This window comes from Homo sapiens, chromosome 8, assembly GCF_000001405.40.
Source record: "Homo sapiens chromosome 8, GRCh38.p14 Primary Assembly".
Taxonomy (NCBI): domain Eukaryota; kingdom Metazoa; phylum Chordata; class Mammalia; order Primates; family Hominidae; genus Homo; species Homo sapiens.
In genome coordinates, this window is record NC_000008.11 from 9,903,589 (window position 1) to 9,922,036 (window position 18,448).

General features: G+C 46.2%; 1 long non-coding RNA gene across 5 annotated transcripts; it reads right to left on the reverse strand.

Moving 5' to 3' along the window:
- Positions 1–481: 481 nt before the first annotated feature.
- Positions 482–15,539, reverse strand: LOC124902057 (uncharacterized). 5 transcript variants are annotated; one of them, XR_007061167.1, is made up of 5 exons: positions 15,467–15,539; positions 2,347–2,446; positions 1,571–1,777; positions 944–1,040; positions 482–599 (listed from the first exon to the last, which is right to left on the reverse strand). It is a non-coding gene; the product is annotated as an uncharacterized LOC124902057 (long non-coding RNA). The 5 variants fall into 5 exon arrangements; XR_007061168.1 differs by lacking the exon at positions 15,467–15,539 and adding an exon at positions 2,855–2,957; XR_007061170.1 differs by lacking the exon at positions 2,347–2,446 and having other exon boundaries at positions 1,571–1,774.
- Between the last annotated feature and the right edge of the window lie 2,909 nt (positions 15,540–18,448).

Genomic DNA, 18,448 nt, shown 5'->3' on the forward strand with positions numbered 1-18,448 from the left:
GTGCGCACTGACAGCGGGGAGAGGGATGGGGGTGGGGAACGCCGGAGGAAGGGACCACAGCATCCTCCCCGCCGCAGCTCCCCCAATCACACAGACAATGAGATAACAGCGACGTCTTCCAAAGGCTCTTTGTTCTCCCCCATCCTTTCGCATCCAGGCTTTTTCCTGCAAAGCGGAGGGGGTGGAGGGATGGGGGTGTGGGTGGAAGTGGGAGACGGAGGGGTGCCTCCCCCGTGTTAATTACCCCGGCTCCCCTCGCCCCTTTCCCCGCGCCTCGCCTCCCCTGCAGCTCCAGACAATGAAAAAACAACATCGACCCCACCTCGCCCCAGCGCAGCAACCCACCCACCCATGTCGCCCTCTGCTTCGCCCAGGAAACTGAAGGGGACTAGGAGGAGGAAGAAGAGAGCGAAGGACAAGGAGAGCAGCGGGGACTCGGCAGCGGCAGCCGGGGCAGGGCGCGCGGCCGCCGCCTCTTTACCTCCATCGCTGAGTGGGGGCGCAGCCGGGCCGGGCGTGCCGCAGGGGCGAGTTGCCGCGGTCCGGGGCTGGGACCTGGGGATTCAGCCTTCCGGAACTCGCCTGCTGCAGTCCTCTCGCTCAGGTCCCAAGTGGTGGAGGGGGGAAAGGAAGAGAGACGAGAGAGAGAGAGACAGAGAGAGAGAGAGAGAGAGGAAGAAGAAGAAGAAGAAGAAAAAAAAACCATAAGAGCGAGGCCCATCTGGCCCCTCATCAGCTTTGTCAAGTCTTGCATACGCTAAAATGCTAATGACCTAGATAGCTCATGCAAAATGCAGCAGGGAGGGCGGGAGCGAGGGAGGTGGGAGGGAGGAAGAGAGAGGAGTGCAGGGGGGAGGGAGGGAGGAGAGGCGGAGGGAGGGAGAGAGGGAGAGAGCACCCCTACACTCTCCCCACCCCACCCCCAACTGTCAGCGGGCTTTACCAGGTAAAGGGTGGACGTAGATTTAAAAGGTCACTCGTGTATAATGCGGCTGGATCCCCGGGTCAAAAAAAGGGGGCGAGACAGAGGATGAGAGTCCCTAAAGCCAAAAGGACAATAAGACATCATTTTAAGCCCCCACCCCCATGCCCTCCTCCACCTCTCCACACTGTTTACACACAAATCCTGTCGCCGCCTCATGCATGTGCACGGACATGTCAATTTCTCATCAATTTCTCAGCGCTCCTATCGACAGACACCCGAATTCTCATTCCCAGCAAAACTCATCCACTGGACCCGAGGGAGGAGAAGACCCCTTCTCCTCCTCAGTGCTCTTCGGGCTGGCCCATCCCTACTCACCTCCATCTCCACTCTCTACTCCCTTAGCCCTCCAGGCAGCAGAGGGCTCCTTCTCTTTTCTAAGCCTTGAGTCCCCTGTCCCCTTTCCAACCCCCGCATCTTGAGAAGGAGACGCAGAGTAGCAGGAAAGCCAAGTCAAGTCCACCTAGGTCTCCCACAATTCAGCTACCCCTCCCAGAAAAAAAAAGAGACCCCAACAACCCCGACCCCTCTCCTACGTAGACACTGTGAAAGCAAGCCACAGGGACAAATAAAAGACAATCCGAATACCCTCAGCGTTCCGCACGCCGGGCGGACGCCCTTCCGCAGCGGCCACGCGTGTTCTGGGTTCAGCGCTCCTGCGCGTCCCTTCTCGCCGAACCCAAGGTGCTTTGTCCCGGCGGCCACACAAGGTCTTCGGCTTTTTGTTCTCCTTTTTTAAGAGACTGGCCGCAGTCCCCAGCGATTCAGCCGGCCCAACCAAAGGCAGTGGATCTACTGAAATGAAAAGGATCGAGATAATACACAGGCAGATGAATAAGGGGGGGGATGCTGGAGGTGCAGGAAGCATCCTGGGAGCGGCCGCCACGGCCAAGCCCGAACTGCTTGCTGCCTTCGCTGGGGAAGGCGCAGGAGGCGAGCCGGCGCTGGTGGTCGCTCCACCTGGCAGGAGGAAATGATAACCATGATAAGGAACGTGATGATGATGATGATGATGATGATGATGATGATGAGCATGATTTAAAAAAAATCAGTCTCCCTCTTGGTGAACCAGAGCATGCGTGCCGGAGGGACTGCACTGCTGGCGGCGGCGGCCGGGGGAAGGAGAGCGGCGCAGGAGGCAAAGGTTGAGGAGGCAGCACCCTCGGATGAATAATAACACCGCGCCGCGCAAGTTGCGGAGCCGCCTGGAAATCCAGCCCTTCGCGTGAACTCGCGTCGAGCGCGGATTGCAGGGGATGAGGAAGAAGGGGGAGGGGAGGGGAGGGTGGAGGAGGGAGGGGGAGGGGTAGAGGGGAAGGCAGAGAGGGACAGAGAGAATTGGGAGCCTTTTAATTTTTCCTTACCAAGCCCTAATCTCGTGCGCCGTCCTCTTTGGCTGAGGTCGAGCTCCTTTTTAAAAATTATTACTCCTTTAAAGGATTATTCAGGTAAAGGAAGCCGCATCTGCTGACGGTTCCGAAAACAAGAGGATTAGGAGCCCGTCCACAGATCCAGGCCCGCAGACCCCCACCCCCTCTGCACCAGCACACGTCATTCTCACTGCCCCCGGGTACCTCCCTCTCCTTCGTGCTCGGGGAGAGCTGTGCCAAGGAAAATGCGGATTTGGGGAAAGTGAGAAGTGGGAGAGCTCGGAAGAGCGGGAAAGCCAAGGCCGGAGGTGGCGATTCGCACCCCCACACTCACACGCGCTTCCGTTTATCCGTTTCTATCCCGGGAAAAGGGGGCGCCTGCCCGAGCCCACGCGCGCCGCCGCATCTGCAGCGGTCGGCGCCCCACGCTCCCTGAACGCCCCCCAGGCGGCACCAGTGCCGGGCAGAGTCCCCTCGGCGGCCGCGGGCGTCAAATCGACACCTGACTCCACAGCTCCCTTCCCTCTCCTCTTCTTCCACCTCCCCGGGGGTCCAGGCACCGCCGTGCGTCCACTCCCGGTCTCCACGGCTTAGGCAGACGGAGTGGGGGACTCCGGGGACCCGCGCGTCCTCTCCTCCTCGGCCCTGGCGGGAGGAGCCGGGCTGGGGTTTCCGCGGGCCGCGGCGCGTTTTAGGGCTGCCGGGGACTGCGGCGGATGCGGTTGACATCACTGCGGCGGCTGCCGGGCCGCTGCGGCGACCTGAGCGCCGGTGCAGCCTCCCCCACCCCGCCTGGGCGGGCGTCTGGGCAGGACAGCTGCGGGGGGTTGGGAGAGGAGTCGGGGAGAGGGGGACGATCGCCCCATCCCCCGCCCCCCCGCAGTCAAGGTGAACATGAAGGAGAGCCGGCGCGCGTGCCCGCGCCTGGGAGGCGCGCGGCCCCGCCCCTCCCGGAGCCCTCCAGCGCGCCCGGGCCAGATGGACGCCCGAGATTAGAGGCGCAGAAGTGCGCTCCACGACGGGCCCACCCGTCCCGCGGACATCAGACCTACTTCGGGGAGGCGCCTTTTGTTGTGGTGGCCGTGGCGGTGTTTGTGTCTTTCCGGGAGCACAGGGTGAGCTTGGCCTTCAGGAATGACTCAGAATGAATCCGCCTATAAGAGCCAAACTAAAGACGACCCCCCGCCCCAGCCCCCCAACCATAACCCAACGCCTGCCATGAGAAACCTTCGGACTTTCCAAGGGGTCAGTGCCTCAGCCACGAGGGGCAGCCCTGACCCGCGCGGTTCACGCACACGCAGGGCCCATCTGCTTCCCCTACTCCGGCTTTTCTTCTCTGATGACTTAAAAGAGAGTGAGTGAGGGAGAGAGGGAGAGAGAGAGAGAGGTCTAAGTGTTTCTTGGGCACTGCTGGATTCAGGGCAACTAGAGATGGGGAGAACAAGCCCCGCCAGCTAAAAGCAGCCCTGCTGAAACCACACAGCCCGCGAGGGTCGCAGCAGAGGCGCCCACCCAGCAGGAGTGGCTGCACGAAGGGTGACCCGGGCGAGGCCCTTCTCGCTTCGAGGCCATTTCGGCTCTTGTCAATTATTGGGTGTTTGTCCCAATATAAGTAGAATGGCGATCTCAAACCCTTTCAGCACTAGCCTTTGCTTCCAACAATGCACCACTAGAAGCTTAGAAAAGAAGCAGTTTTTGTGAATTTCAAGAAGCAGAAAGCTTTGGTTTAATCAGAGAGAGAAGGAAAAAAGAGGAAGAGGAGGAGGAGGGGGAAGAGGAGGAGAAGAAGAAAAAAGAAGAAGAAAAATAAGAAATAAACCATTGCCTGCAACTGATGTTTAATTTCTGAAGACCATGCCTGATTGGAAAAAGCCATCATTTGGGCTGTCTTTCAGGGAAAAACTTACCATTCTGATAACGTTTCCCTCAAACTAAAATACTTTTGTGGTGGAAAAACTACACTGGCAGTGGCTTGGTTCAAGACTCCCACCATTTTGATAAGGGTTTTTAGCTTCAGGACAATTTGTTTCCTATTCACTAAGAATTCCTTTCGCAGATAGTTTCGGAACTCCTTGTATATGGAGGGATGGGGCCGTGACCCGAGTTGGCCTGGACTGAAGGACAGTAGGACACGCTGCTGCTCCCTTTTCCGTAGTGTTTCTTAAAGGCCTGGTTTTGTTTAGATTGAGGACGGTTTCTGGCAGTCCCTCCTCGCCGTTGCTGCAATGCAGGGTATTTGCCGCTCATCTTGCGGCATGGGGGGAGGGGAGGAGAGAATGGTTTTGTAACAGGCTCTGCAGGCCTGAGTGGGAACGCCTTAAATGATGAGCCCCGGGTTAAAAAAGAAAAGAAAAAGACAAAAAAAAAAAAAAAAAAAAAAAAGCAGCTGATGCTGAATTAATAGTTAGAGCATACCCCTGGGGCTTGCTCCAACCAGGGGGTCAGAAGTCCTTTCCCCTCCCCCAGTCACGGATTTCATATCTCTTTTTAACCAGCCTGATCGGATGCTGGGACATTTGTGATGGCTTCTTAAAACCTAAACCTTTGGGCTTAAGAGTAGTCTATGCTCCTGATCAAACTCACCCCAAATACTAACATGTTAAGAAATTATATTGTAAAACCTCCCCAAATCCGATTGACTGGGCTGTTTGGGGCCCATATGGCCGGACAGCTGTGCTGCTCCACGTGAAAAGACATCATTGCCCTTCCGATGGTATAAAGCGAGGGTTCCCCAGAGAGCTCAGACATGACCTAAGTATTAGCTTAGCCTGGGGTGAAGACTGAGTTAAATCTCTCACTTCTTGGAGGTTAAAATAAAGACAACAACAAAAATCAAAAGAGATGCACTTTTGAATTCATTGTATATTGCGTGCCTCCCGCTGGTCCCACCAAAGGAAGGAAGGACAACCCGAGAAATAAACTCTCTTTAGCTTACCACAAGCATGACGTTAGACAAACTGAAGACACAGGAAAGAAATATATTATTTGCCAAGCGTACCATGTGTCAGTGACATTTGTGGTTCCCTGTTCAGAGAAGCAGGGTTCTGACCTCAGCCGATGCCTGTGTTAACCATAAAGAACAGCCATCAGAGTGTAATTTCCATGGTGAGAAGATGAAACCGTGCTTTAAAAAGGAAAGCCCATTATGAAATGCGGCCGGATTTAATTTTTAATATGATGGCGGATCCTCTAACGCATTCTTTGCTGGTGTTTGCATTCAGGAGGAGTGATTCATTCTGTGGCAGAAATCAAAATAACATTCTGCAGTACTTTTAAATGCGCTTCTCGTTTTTAAAGGTGTCCTGAAATAGAATATTCTATAACCTTTCAGTGGTGGTGGCTGGAGAAGCGGGATACAAAACTCTGTTCCTAGTGCAATGCTCAGTCTAGATAAGACCGGGCTTGTTCTTACTTATCTGTTTGTGCATAACCCCTTGCAGTCTCTCCAGGCCTTAACAAATGTTTTAAAAATAAGGGAGACAGAGAAAAAGAGAGAGAAAAAAACTCTCACAAATCAATCTGGAAAGTGAAATGAGGGGAAAATAGTGGTTAGATGGTTAGATACATAAGCTTTTAGTCCAAGTCAGTCAACATTGTTTTGGAAAATTCTTTCAATATTGAAACTCCCTCATTTGAAACCTTTATGTACAGTAGCAGGTACTGAAGTGTTTTTGTGTTCCTTGAATGTCAGTTCACGTTTTTGGAAATAGCTACAGAGAGTTCTGCAGTTACTGTGTCTTTAAAAAAACAATTTTGGAGGTATTATTTGCATAGCATAACTAATGATGGAACCCTGGAGATCATTTGGTGCCCCCCTTACTACTATAAAAGAGTAGAGCAGGGCCCAGAGAGACGGAAAAAGAGCTTCTAGAGATCATGTGGGTGGTTTGTAGCAATTTCAGTGGTGAAGTTAAGAGCAAAACCTGAGTCTCTTCATTTCTTGCCAGTATGTATTTTTTCCTCATGTATTTGAACATGAAAAGCTTCCTAAAGATTTTGGCAAATAAAACAAATAGTGGACCCTAGTGTGTTCATGTAGTGTTTAGCTTGGGTTGAATTTTGAAATTTGAGTTTTTTTCTATTTAAATGTCTCTAGTTTTAGCAATATTTCAGGAGGTATTTAGGAAAACACACCCAGCCAACCTCTTGTGACCCTGGATGGATAGGGCAAGAGCCACACAGAAGTGTCAGAGCCTTTGACCCAGTGACTTAAGAGCCACAACGTGTCTAGAAAATAATCACGTTAAAGCTAGGACTGGGGTTCTGAGGAAGGACTCCCCCAGCCCAAGACACAGCTATGGAAAACATAGTGTTCTTTCACAGTCATTTTGGGGGCAAGAGTCTGCGACACAAATTCAGTCTATCAGGTGACAGTCACCACGTCAATTTGTTTTGTTTCTGGATTACTTAATAAATTATTCATATTGCACAAAAAAGGAATATATTTTTTAAAAGACCCAAAAGAAAAATAAGCTGTGGTCTCGGACACGTGTGTGATCTTGTGCAAGTAAGTCACTTTCCTTGTTTTCTATCCTCTTCCTCAACATGAGTAAATGATTTCTAAAGTCCCTTTCAACACGAACAGTGTGTGATTCTATTGTTTTTCAACAGAATCCACGTTTCTGAGTCTGGAAGATATTGCCTCCCTTTTAAAATCTATCTGGCAGACATTGTGTTCAGGGTCTGAAAAGTTGAACATGGAAAGCTTTGAGAAAAGTAGAGACAGAGAGAGAAAGAGAGAGAGAGAGAGAGAGTGTGTGTGTGTGGGCGCATGCATTTAAGTGGCATTCATCTGAAAGTATCGCCATCTTTATTTCTGATTACCCTCTGGGTCAGGAAAAGGTCTTTCTATCAGGTGAAAGCATTTTTCTATTCCCCTCAGTGCGCCCGGCACAGCATAACTGAATGCTTTCTGTGTTTTCACCTAAGCAGATTCAACCTGAGTCCTGCAGCAGATTTAAAAGCCCTCCTCTTTAGCGCCCATCCTGACCTAGATTGCAGGATGAAGGCTAATGATTCATTTGCAATGCTCATGATGGGCATCTACTGCAGGGGTTCCCTCTCCCCTCCTTGTTCCGAAAGGAACCCTGTTACCCTTATCATCTGATATTACCACAAGTAAATATTTTTGTTCAGTTGCTACATAGGGCATGAGGCTATTTCTTAATGAATTATCTGCCCCAGGGAGGCGAACTATAACTCACCAGTGCTTCAGGCAATTTTTAGCATGTGTCAGATTGTGTTTGCCTTAGAGAACTTGGACTGTGTTTTGGTGCAGGCAAACTGCTTTTCTTTTCCTCTTTGTGCAGAGATATACAATTCAACATACCTTTACAAGGAGAAAAGACTTGCTTGTGTTTGAGTCTGATGGGAGCATGAAAACGATGTTCTATATGCATAAAGCATGAGACCATGCAGAGGATGGAGTGCTCGTATTCAGATGCCAGATATTGTTATAATGCAAACTGGACAAGGCTTTCTTTGAATTTCATTTAGAAGCAGCTACCATGTACTATACATTATAAAATCAGAGGATTACACTTGACAAAATGGCCTTGACTAATAATGAAGTGCCGATTGGTGTGTTCATTAAATATACAGATTTGAAGCAGAATTAGTAGCGATGACTGAAATGGAAATCTTGTCAATCATAAATGAGGCAGCTGACAAGTTAGAAGGGGGAAAAAACCCCTCAAATGTGACTCAGATCTTGTAGGTTTGTGTCTGAGGATGATTTAAATAAATTTGGACATTAGGTGGTGACAAGACAAAAAAGAAAAATAGCATCTAATTGGGCAAAAAGACTGTGGTAGGCCTGGGGGATTGTAACAGAAAAAAAAAAGGAGATGGAAAAAGGAAAAAGGAAGAATGAGGGGGTCGTTTGCAGGATAGCTTGTTTGTAATGAATGAATGAAGAGATGAAATCTAGAATATTTATTTCCCAGTAGCCGACACTCAGGAGACATTTAACTATTGTTCATAAAATAAAATCAGTGTCCCTTCTGTGTTCAGCAGCATCAAACAGATTATCTGCATATATAACTCTGCTGGGAGGCGAGAGTGTCGTCAGCTGGAAGTACAGTGTGGGGAACATTGGCTTACTTTCAATCTTTAATTTCAAAGTGCGGTAACTAGGCATTTAAAAACATTGTACGTAAGACAAAGGGCCACTGTATGGCAGCTCCATGCCAGCCACAGGGCTAGTTAGATGTTTTTCTTATATTATCTACAATCTCAGATCCACACTAACCCCATGTTACAAAGAGGTGACTTTCTCAAGTGCAGAAGCTGGCATTGGGATCCAGATATAACTGGCCCCAAAGACTCTCCTTTTTCCATTACAACTGCATGCTGAAGTCTTCCCAGAAGGAACAAGAATAACATTATATAATGTAAAGCTGATATAAAGGATGCTAAGTATTTGTCCTGCCTCATGTACCAAGTTGAAATAAGTAGGGTGAGGCTGACAGAGCAGATGAAAAACATCACTTAAGATCGTTTTTTTCCTGCTAAACTCTGTTGTACACTATGCAAATATGATTGCAAAAGTGGAACATTATCAACACTTTAATGCTAGTTATCTTTCAAAGATGATACTCAGAGTAATCAACATAAACTTAGTATACTGTATCCTAAATAATAAAAATGTTGCCTTGCATCATTCTGATATCCTCAGTACGACCTAGAAAGCCGATCGGAATGATATATAGTGATAATAGCATTCTGCATTTAAACAGCATCCTAACAGTCACAGCGTTTGGCCACCTGGGTTGGGGCGGAAAAGGGAGGTTGGGAAATTGAGGACTTAGCAGCCCGTTTGGGGGCACATTGCCCGGAGAAATTCTTGGGGTGGCAGGCTGTAAATCAGGATGAATGTATTTCTGGATGATAATCCTGTTTCCAGTCTCCCCTAAAGCCGGGCTGGTAAGGCAAGACGCCCTGCTTGGCAAAGATGTTCCCTGGTTTTTGGTGCCTGGGCAGATACCCTGAGTTGATAGTAAACAACAGAACACAAGGGATAGAAAAAGCAGGAAGAAATTTTTTTCTAAATGATGGGAACTTCATTTTTGTGGGATTTGCTTCTCTGTTTAATATATATATTTTTTCTTCGAAATGATGGAGCTGCCGGGGGACAGGAAAAGATGGCGTTCATTACAAATTCCTTACTAGTCATTTGTCTACAACTAGAAGATTAGCAAGAGAGTTCCCTGTCCAATAAAGGAGCCAGCACGCTGGCAAAACGCTATGTGGTGTGGGACTGCTGGCCTGGGAGGCAGGAGACCTGGATTCTAGTTCTAGGTTTGCCACAGACAGAAACTTTGGGCTAAATTATTCCCTCCCAGGTAAATGAAGAGTGGAGGGGCTCTTTCTGCCTACCCTGTTGCTCCACCTTCCTCTTTGTTCTGTTTCCTGCTCCCCCTTCATGAGGATCCCTCCGGACTCCTCAGCCAATCTGCTTGTAGGGCAAGATCTCGACTCAGCAACTGGCACCTGACTATGTTTACTCTCTTAAGGGAATTTTTAAAAGGCCGGACCATCAGTTAACATTTTGAGAACCCCTAAGCAGATGAGCCATGGATGTTTGGGGGAGACAGCGGATGCCTTCTGGGCAATGCTGAAACGGTGCTGGTTTTGTGTGGCTCCTTGGCCCCTTCTGCTGTAGACGCGACACCCTGTGAGAGAACAAGCATGGGTCTCAGAGCCGAGACAGATGAGAATCCACATCCCAGCTCCAGGCCCTACCTCCTCGGTGATTTGGGCCAGTTTTCCATGTGCAGTATGGGGACAATGATAGTCTCGACACCATAGGGCTGTCGTTTACTGAGAGAACACCCAGTGAATCCCAATTTTGTGTTTCTCCATCTTTCTGCCTCTTCTCTAAAGGATGGACCAAAGTGAGCTACTCGAGAGGCTGAGGCAGGGAGAATTGCTTGAATCCGGGAGGCGGAGGTTGCAATGAGGTGAAATCACGCCACTGCACTCCAGCCTGGGCGACAGAGCAAGACTCCATCTCAAACAAAAAAAAAAGAAAAAAAAAATTGGTGGACCAAGGTGAGCCTGAGGACTGCAGCTCCTGTCAGTGGTTCCCAGCCCCAGAAGAAGAGCCGGCAGGGGCCAGCAGTGAACTGCCATGCTCCATGCCGTTCTCCAGCCTGTGTGGTCCATGGCTGGCCCCAGCCTGAGCCAGACGGAAGCCCGGGGAAAGATTATTTCATATCGATCCCATCTTTGACCCACCATATGACTGGACAAGCACTGTCAGAACAGCACATAAGGAAATGGGGAGGCACTGCTACCGCTCCTTTCAGAATTCCAGGAGGAGCTTTTAAAATCCTGAGGCAGGGTTTTAGAAACTCCTACAGAAATGGAGCTTGAACAGGAGCGGGGGACATTGACTTTCTCAGCTGATTGGCGGTCTTGACCCCACTGTGTGTGGGGTGGTGGGAGACCAGAGAGAATCTTAGAGCTGGCAGGTGAGGAAATTGAGGTCCAGAGAAGTGAAGTATCTTCCTAGCCCAAGGCCGCAGAGTTATTGATTAGGTAGCTAGAAATCAAAAACAAAAGCACTGCACGACCTCGCAGGAAGCCAGAGGAAGGGACCGGTGAGAAGAGGTAGAGTTTTATGCTGAGGTAACTTGGAGAGTCTGTTGCCTTTCTTTTTCACCCAGCCTTAGCCCGGCCCTGCTAGAACCCCAAACGTTTAGAGCTTCCCTTGAAGAGAGGTAATAGTTACACCTATGTTAGAGTCATTGTCAGAATACAATGACACAGTGCATAAAGAAATACTTAACACAGTGCCATGTCCTGGGACGTGCTCAACAAATATTAGCTGAAGATATTTTTTACCTTAAAAAAAAAAAAAGAAAGAAAGAAAGAAAGAAAGAAAAGAAAAAGGCAGCCATTGGCAAATAAAGGCTGTTAGTATCATTGGCTTTATTCTTGATAAAAGCCAGAGAAGTTCCCTGATGTTTTGTGGGTGATAGTTTAGCAGAAGAGGCTGATTGTCATCATGTTTTCCAAAGGTCTAAGAAACTCTCTTTCCTTTGGGGGACCTGATACTTAAAGTTAATGTCTGTTTTCAAGGAAGTACACCCCACAGTAGCCACTTTATCATCATTCCATTGCTGGTACAATGTATTAGCATGAACCATTACAAGAAGAAAAAGAGAAGAATTTAGATATAAATGTGAAATTCTTTGGAGATGTCTGGGAGAGACAAGATGAAATTAAGAGCTTTTTTGATGTGATGGAACAACACAGGCTGAATGAGGGAAAGTTCCAGTTTTTAACATCCTAAGGGACAGAATGTCAAAAAAATACTTATGAAGCTTCTGAAAAATAGGGTCCAAAACCCTTCATTTCTGGCAATAAGAAGCCTGACAACCTCCTGGAAATTAGTAGCTAAAAATTTTAGACAAGATATTAGAGTATCATTTTAATTGCCTCATAGAGCTTAAAGGAAATAAATATAGCTAGGTCAGAAAGAAAATCTAGCTATATGCTGTTTACAAGAGATTCATCAAAAACATGAAACAAAAATGATGGAAAAGTAATGATAAGTAAACACTAATCAAAAGAAAGCTGATACAGTTTGCTAATGTTAGATAAAATAGACTGGAAGACAATAAACATTATTGGTGACAAAGATGGGCTGTATATAATAAACAATGAAAAAGAAAAACTACTTAGGAGAACAACTCTAAACTTGTATGCCCCTAGAAACATAGCTTCAAAATAGAAAAGCAAAAAATAGAAGCAACATTGGAGAGAAAATGACAAATTGGAAAAGATATAAAAGATTGGAACAACACAACTATCAAACGTACTCTAACAGACACATTTGGAATTTTTCTTCTCAATAATTAAAACAATCACATTTTTTTGAGCATATGTGGGACATTTATAAAACTTGATTGTGTTCTAGCCCACTAAAGTAGTCTCAACAAATCTGTGATGTCACATCATACAAACCGTGTCATTTGACTACAATATAATTTTGTTAGAAATAATTAACCCTCCCCCCAAATCACATACTTCTCCCCATAAATCTGGGGGTGGAGGGAAAGACATTTCTAAATAACTCATAATTCCAAAAAGAAATTATATTGTAAATTCTTGATTAATTAATTTAATGACTACATTTTAAAACTTTGTGTCATGGAGTTATAGTAACACTCAGAGGAGAACTGACAGTCTTAAAATACTTATATTAGTAAAGAAGAAAGACTAAAGATTGAAGATTTAAGTGTTCAACAAAAGAAGTTAAAAAAAGAACAGGTTAAGCCTAAAAAAAAAAAAGAGAAGGAGAAATAGAAAGGTAGGAAGAAAAAAAGGGGAAAAGATGGTGAGATTTCGATCCTAATACCACCTGAAAAAGACCATAGCTGCTTTATTGATGAGGAGAAACATCCTCCACTGCAAGTATCTTTCCCTCTCAGCTGATTGTCGCCTTTCCTCTGAGGGCCCTTCTCACTGACTCTGTGTTCTCTTTGCAGGGGACTAGCTTGGTGTGTTCTTCCTCTCTGCAGCCTTCACATCTAGCCCAGGTGCTCTGCAATTTTACTGAATGACTTTTCTCCTTCCGTAGCTATTTGCGTATTTTGCCCTTTATGCTAGATTGTAAAGTCTTTGAGGTAGAAACGGTATCTTTCTCATCTCTGCTCCCCCACAACATGTAAGCCAGGACCTCATGCAAAATAGCGACCTGGCATCTAGATGTGTTTGAAGTGGAATTGAGTTTGTAGACAGAGCTTCGGCTTATAGGGAGAGGAGGACATGGGAGAAGGAGAGTGGAAGTGATTTCGGACTCTCCCAGACTTGGGAATCTGGTGATCGTTTGGAATAAGCTACCTTCAGCGGCAAGGAGGGCTTTCCTGATGTGTGGGCCATGATTTTGTGGCTAAGAAACTAAAGAAAAAAGAAAGAATAATTGAAAGAAAAATTTCTTAAGCCCTTCTTTGGAGAGGAAACACATCCCTTCAGCTGTTGGTTTTGTAGAGGCACCTACTCTATTTCTGAGTTCTGAGTCCTGTCTGGTAGCACTGGCTGAGGAGTGGTTAAGGGTAGGGTAGGTGATTTTGGAGTTGGGTGCTAATCTGGGCTGAAGTTCCCCCACTACATTTTTCTTTTTTTGTGGTAAAATATACATGACATTTGCCATCCTAACCTTTTTAAATTGTATAATTCAGTGGCCTTAAATATACTCACATGTGGTGCAACCACCACCACCATCCATTTCCAGAACATTTTTTTATCATCCCAAACAGAAACCCTATCCCCACTGCTTTTTTTTTTTTTTTTTTTTTTTTTTTTTTTTGACTATGCAACTTTGGTCAAGTTGCCAGTTTCTTCATCTGTAAATCAGGGCTAATCATATTATGTACTGAATAGGATTATTGTCAGGATTAAATGACGTAATGCATGAAAACTGCTTAACATAGTGCCTGGCACTGTGTTTTATTGACTACGCACTGAATAAATGTTAATATAGGAAATGGCAAGAGGAACGAGAATTTAAATCATTTAGAGCCAGCAGAGGGACACAGTAAATTTTTTCCCAACTCTGAATGATTTGAACTAATGATTAGTTCCTGGAACGCATGCTGGGCAGTTTTGATGGGGCTTGACTGGAACTATAACTGTTGGCAAATAACCTCTCCAGAGCTGAAGGGTGTGGGGCTGGGGGAGGTTATTTCTAAAATCCTTCCACCACCAGTGTCACATCTAGCATGTCATGGAAACGCAAGATAATGCTTGAGTGAGTGAATGAGTGAATGCCTACGTATACATTTCAGTGCTTGAAGGGAGGATGGAGATCATTTTCTTTTAGTCGTCAGTTTGTCAGTGAGAAGGCTGAGACCCAAATAAGTAGAGTGACTTATTCAAGATCACATAATTAGGGGTAGAGCCGGTTTAAAAAGCCAAGATTCCTGAACATATTGTGCAATCTTAACTTGAAAGAGAACCCAGAGAAATGGGAGAAAAACTGGAGAAAACCTCAAAAGCTCACGCAGTTGCTAACTGAGAGTCAAGGTCTCCAGTGTTCAATGTCATTTTCCCTTCTCTGACTGCACATCTGATCCAAAGTGTTGCAGATAATTGCTTTTTGTTAAGGAAAGAACATCCCCTTCCAGTTTAGGAGCAATGGCGATTCTAGTAAGGAAGATCATGGAAAATAACTGTTTTAAAACCATAATTCTTAGGGAAACTAGAAATTTTTAAGAGACCTCAAATAGCTTGCACTGTTTAACCTTACCTAGGCTCAGTCTGCTTCCTGGTCAGGTATGCATAGTAATACCTCGCAAAGCATGGTGAGCTTTAAATAACATAAAGAACGTGACAGTGGCTTGCACACAACCTGGCATATGGGTGGTGTTCAGCAAATACTTGTTGCAAGAAAAGGAGGATATCATTGATGAAACACACTCTCCAGCCCTATCAACAGCCCACTTGACTCTGCTGGGAAGAATTGCTGGTGCCGTATACACTTTGTTTGCAACGTGACCTGGAGAATAACCTCGGGGGAGGAGGTAGCCATTAGGATGGAGCACTTTATAGCAAACACGTGCTGCTGTTTTGCTGCGGCACCCCAGGTTGCAGTTAGTCAGAAATGGCTTCCCATGTTTACTGGAAACATCGAGACGTGTCTCAGTGACACTAATGCTGCAAATGCAGGTTTCAGTCTCATACCCGGGGACACAGGTCACTTGGCACACAGGCAGTCACTGCTCACCCATGTAGAGCAATAGGAAGAATCCTGTACCAGGAATCGGAGCACTGGGTTCTAGAGGTGGCCACTTACAAGCTTTGTAATCTCACGGCTTTACCTCTCTGAACCTCAGAATCCTCTTCTGTGAAACAAGGGGGTTGAATACGTGATTTCTGACCCCTTCCCGCTTGAAAACACCATGATCTGTTTAGTTATTGCACTCACAGCTTTGCAAGTATTGCTGCTCAGTGAAAATGTAAGTGCCATACATGTGTACCATCACACACACACACACACACACACACACACACACACACACACACCCCCTTCTAGACCCAGATTCTCCACTCAGGGAAATAGCATGAAAGAAAACCTGATGCCCCAGTGAATAGCCATTTTACTCACCACCTTTAGAATGACATAGCCCAGCTGCTTCTGGGCTAGAACCTCATCCTCCTTGTGACTCGATGCTTCTGCTGCCAAATGAGGTAGGAATGGTGCAATCTGATTTCCACCCCCTAGAGCAACTGCTGCTGCGGCGCTGCGGCCGCCCCTGCCTTTTCTACCATGGATGCTGCATCAGCACAGAAATGCTGAGCACAGCACATTTCTGAGCTTCGGGAGGCAGACCGGATTGCTGCAGAGGGAAATGGGTATCCATTCTTCTCATGACTAGTTCCACACAGTGGGTACTAGTGGTGGGGGGAAATTTACTTTTAAACATTGCAAGCCCCAAAGGGATGAATGTGAGAAACCTTGGCTTTTGCCCAGATCAGAGCCCTTTTTGCAGTCAGATTGAATCGCTTGGGATTCTGATCTCTCTTCCTGCTCCAGACCTGCATAGTAAGGCAACATTTCTAAGTGTTTGTTGATGGTGATGATGACAGGGTCTTTAAAGCATCCTAGGGCAAATGCCTGCTTTTCTCTTAAAGGGTGACATTTCTGCAGGCTTCTAGGGTTCAGAGCAACATCATTCAGGGGTGATAGAATGAGCTATTCTTTGTGGTGCTGGCTTTCCTGGCGTAATCCATTTGGAGTAGAACAGGACAGAGCCTAGGACTCATTAGCTTTGGGGGAGGAGTTTGTGTTTTAATTTCCACAGATGTCTCCCTGAATTGCTCACTCAGCTTTTGGGGTACCAGTTCTATTGGCTAGTCTTCGCTTCCACATAAATCCTGTAGCCGATGGTCTCCGGGCATTTTTGCCACCCTTAGGTTCAGTTTTCTCATCTGCAAAATAATATGACTCACGGTGTGATTATAACCCGGACATCCTGCATATGTACCCCAGAACTTAAAGTAAAAATATAAATTAGAAAAAGAATTGTTTAGATGACTTATGACAATGCTCTCTAAATCTTTTTATGATCCCCATTGGTAAAAATTTTACTCTGCCCCCCAATGTATGTATATTTATATATTTGTAAATTATATAATGCACTTATACCATTAGCCAACTATCTCAAGTCTTAATATACATTTAGGGTAAGGTTCATTATTAATAATAGTAGATATTAAATCACATTTTTAACCATGTGATAATTTAAAAAATTTTTGGCCAACTTCATATTGGATCTGAATAAGCCGTCATTGTAATCTTGTAATGTGGTTGCAAAGAGCTCTAACCAGGAGTAGACCTGTCAGTTCTACCTTGTCAGGTTGCTCGTGTTATTAGTATTCACTTTCATTAGGGATTTCTTTGCAGGAATCTTTCTAAGCCAAGCATCCTCTTTGTTGGGGGTGAGTTTAATTAAAACCAGTATGTATAATCTGGAACTTCGTTTACCCCTCTCACATTGTGGAACTCTTGCTCTTCCCTCAGGATAATGTGTTTCCTGGAAGTGACACTTGGGCTACTGACACACAGACAAAAAAAGTCATCAGTGTCAACCCACATATTGAATATTAATAAAACTCCCTTTCTGATATTTTAGATTATAGGTAGGCTCTGATATTTTCCTTCCTGCATTTCCATGGATGGTTCTGCATATCTCCTGGGGTAGCTGCACCTTTTTTGTTGTTTTTTTTCAAAACCACTGAGTTAATGGATATAAACATGCTTTGTAAGTTGCCAAAATGGACTAAACCAAAGTGAGGATGCTGATATCTGGAAGAATTTCTTCATGTGTAGAGCTGTACTCACCTACAGCTCTAAGGACACTTTCAGGAAGGATAGATCTCATTGGTGCTCACAATAAGAATTGGCCCAATAGGCCAGGTGCGGTGGCTCATGCCTGTAATCCCAGCACTTTGGGAGGCTGAGGCGGGCAGATCACCTGAGGTCAGGAGTTCGAGACCAGCCCAGCCTATATGGTGAAATCCCATCTCTACTAAAAATACAAAATTAACCGGGCGTGGTGGCACGCGCCTCTAATCCCAGCTACTCTAGAGGCCGAGGCAGGAGAATCACTTGAACCCAGGAGGCAGAGGAAGGAGAATCGCTTGAACCCGGGAGACGGAGGTTGCAGTGAGTCGAGACTGTGCCATTGCACTCCAGCCTGGGCAAAAAGAGCGAAACTCCATCTCAAAAACAAAACAAAACATTACAAAACAAAACCAAAAAACACAAAAGAATAGGCCTGATTATTCCTATTTTGTGATTGGAGTCCTGGGCAGGGTAGGCTGGTCACATGGTCATATATAGACATTTCTGACTCCAGCGATGCCCCCTGCATGACTGCTACAAACATCTCAAATGCAGATTCCCATTCCTCATTCTCCAGATTGGAGACCCAGGAGAAGGATGCCTTCTGGGGTTTAGTATGACCATAGGATTATAAACCGGAAGAATGAAAAATGCTTCCACATTGTATTCTCAGTGGGCTTTGCTGAGTTGCAGAGAACCAGAACTATCAAAACAGTTCTAGGAGTTTAGATGGAAGACTCAGAAGTCCCTCTCTGGATCTTGAAAACATCAGTTCTTTCTTCAACAGCACTTAAGTTACAGTGTTCTGATATGAAATAAATGGGATCAAGTCATATTGGGTATTGAGGCAGAAGAGATGCTGCTTATGATCAGACAGACTTAGGGAGAGAGAGAGACAGAATATTCATAAATTATGACTTAGGCCAGGCTTCCTAGGGCGAGTCTCTGTAGCTCACCCTGGGATGACATTCACGGGGGTGGTGGGGACACAGACTTGAAGTCATTGTGCCCTGCAGATTTTCCTGGAGAAATCTAGAACCCCAGCTTTCTCTGGAATAGAGTGATAGTCTCTAAAGGACTCTTTGATAGTTTTCTGGGTCACTCTAAGGGCAATCAAGAAAGACCCCCATCCAGAGAACAGTCTGGCTTGGCCACTGGAGGTAGTGATTATCTCTGGAGTAAATTTGGCTCCAGGAAGAATAACAGGGTAGAAGAAGCTCAAGGAGTATGTGTTCTCCACCT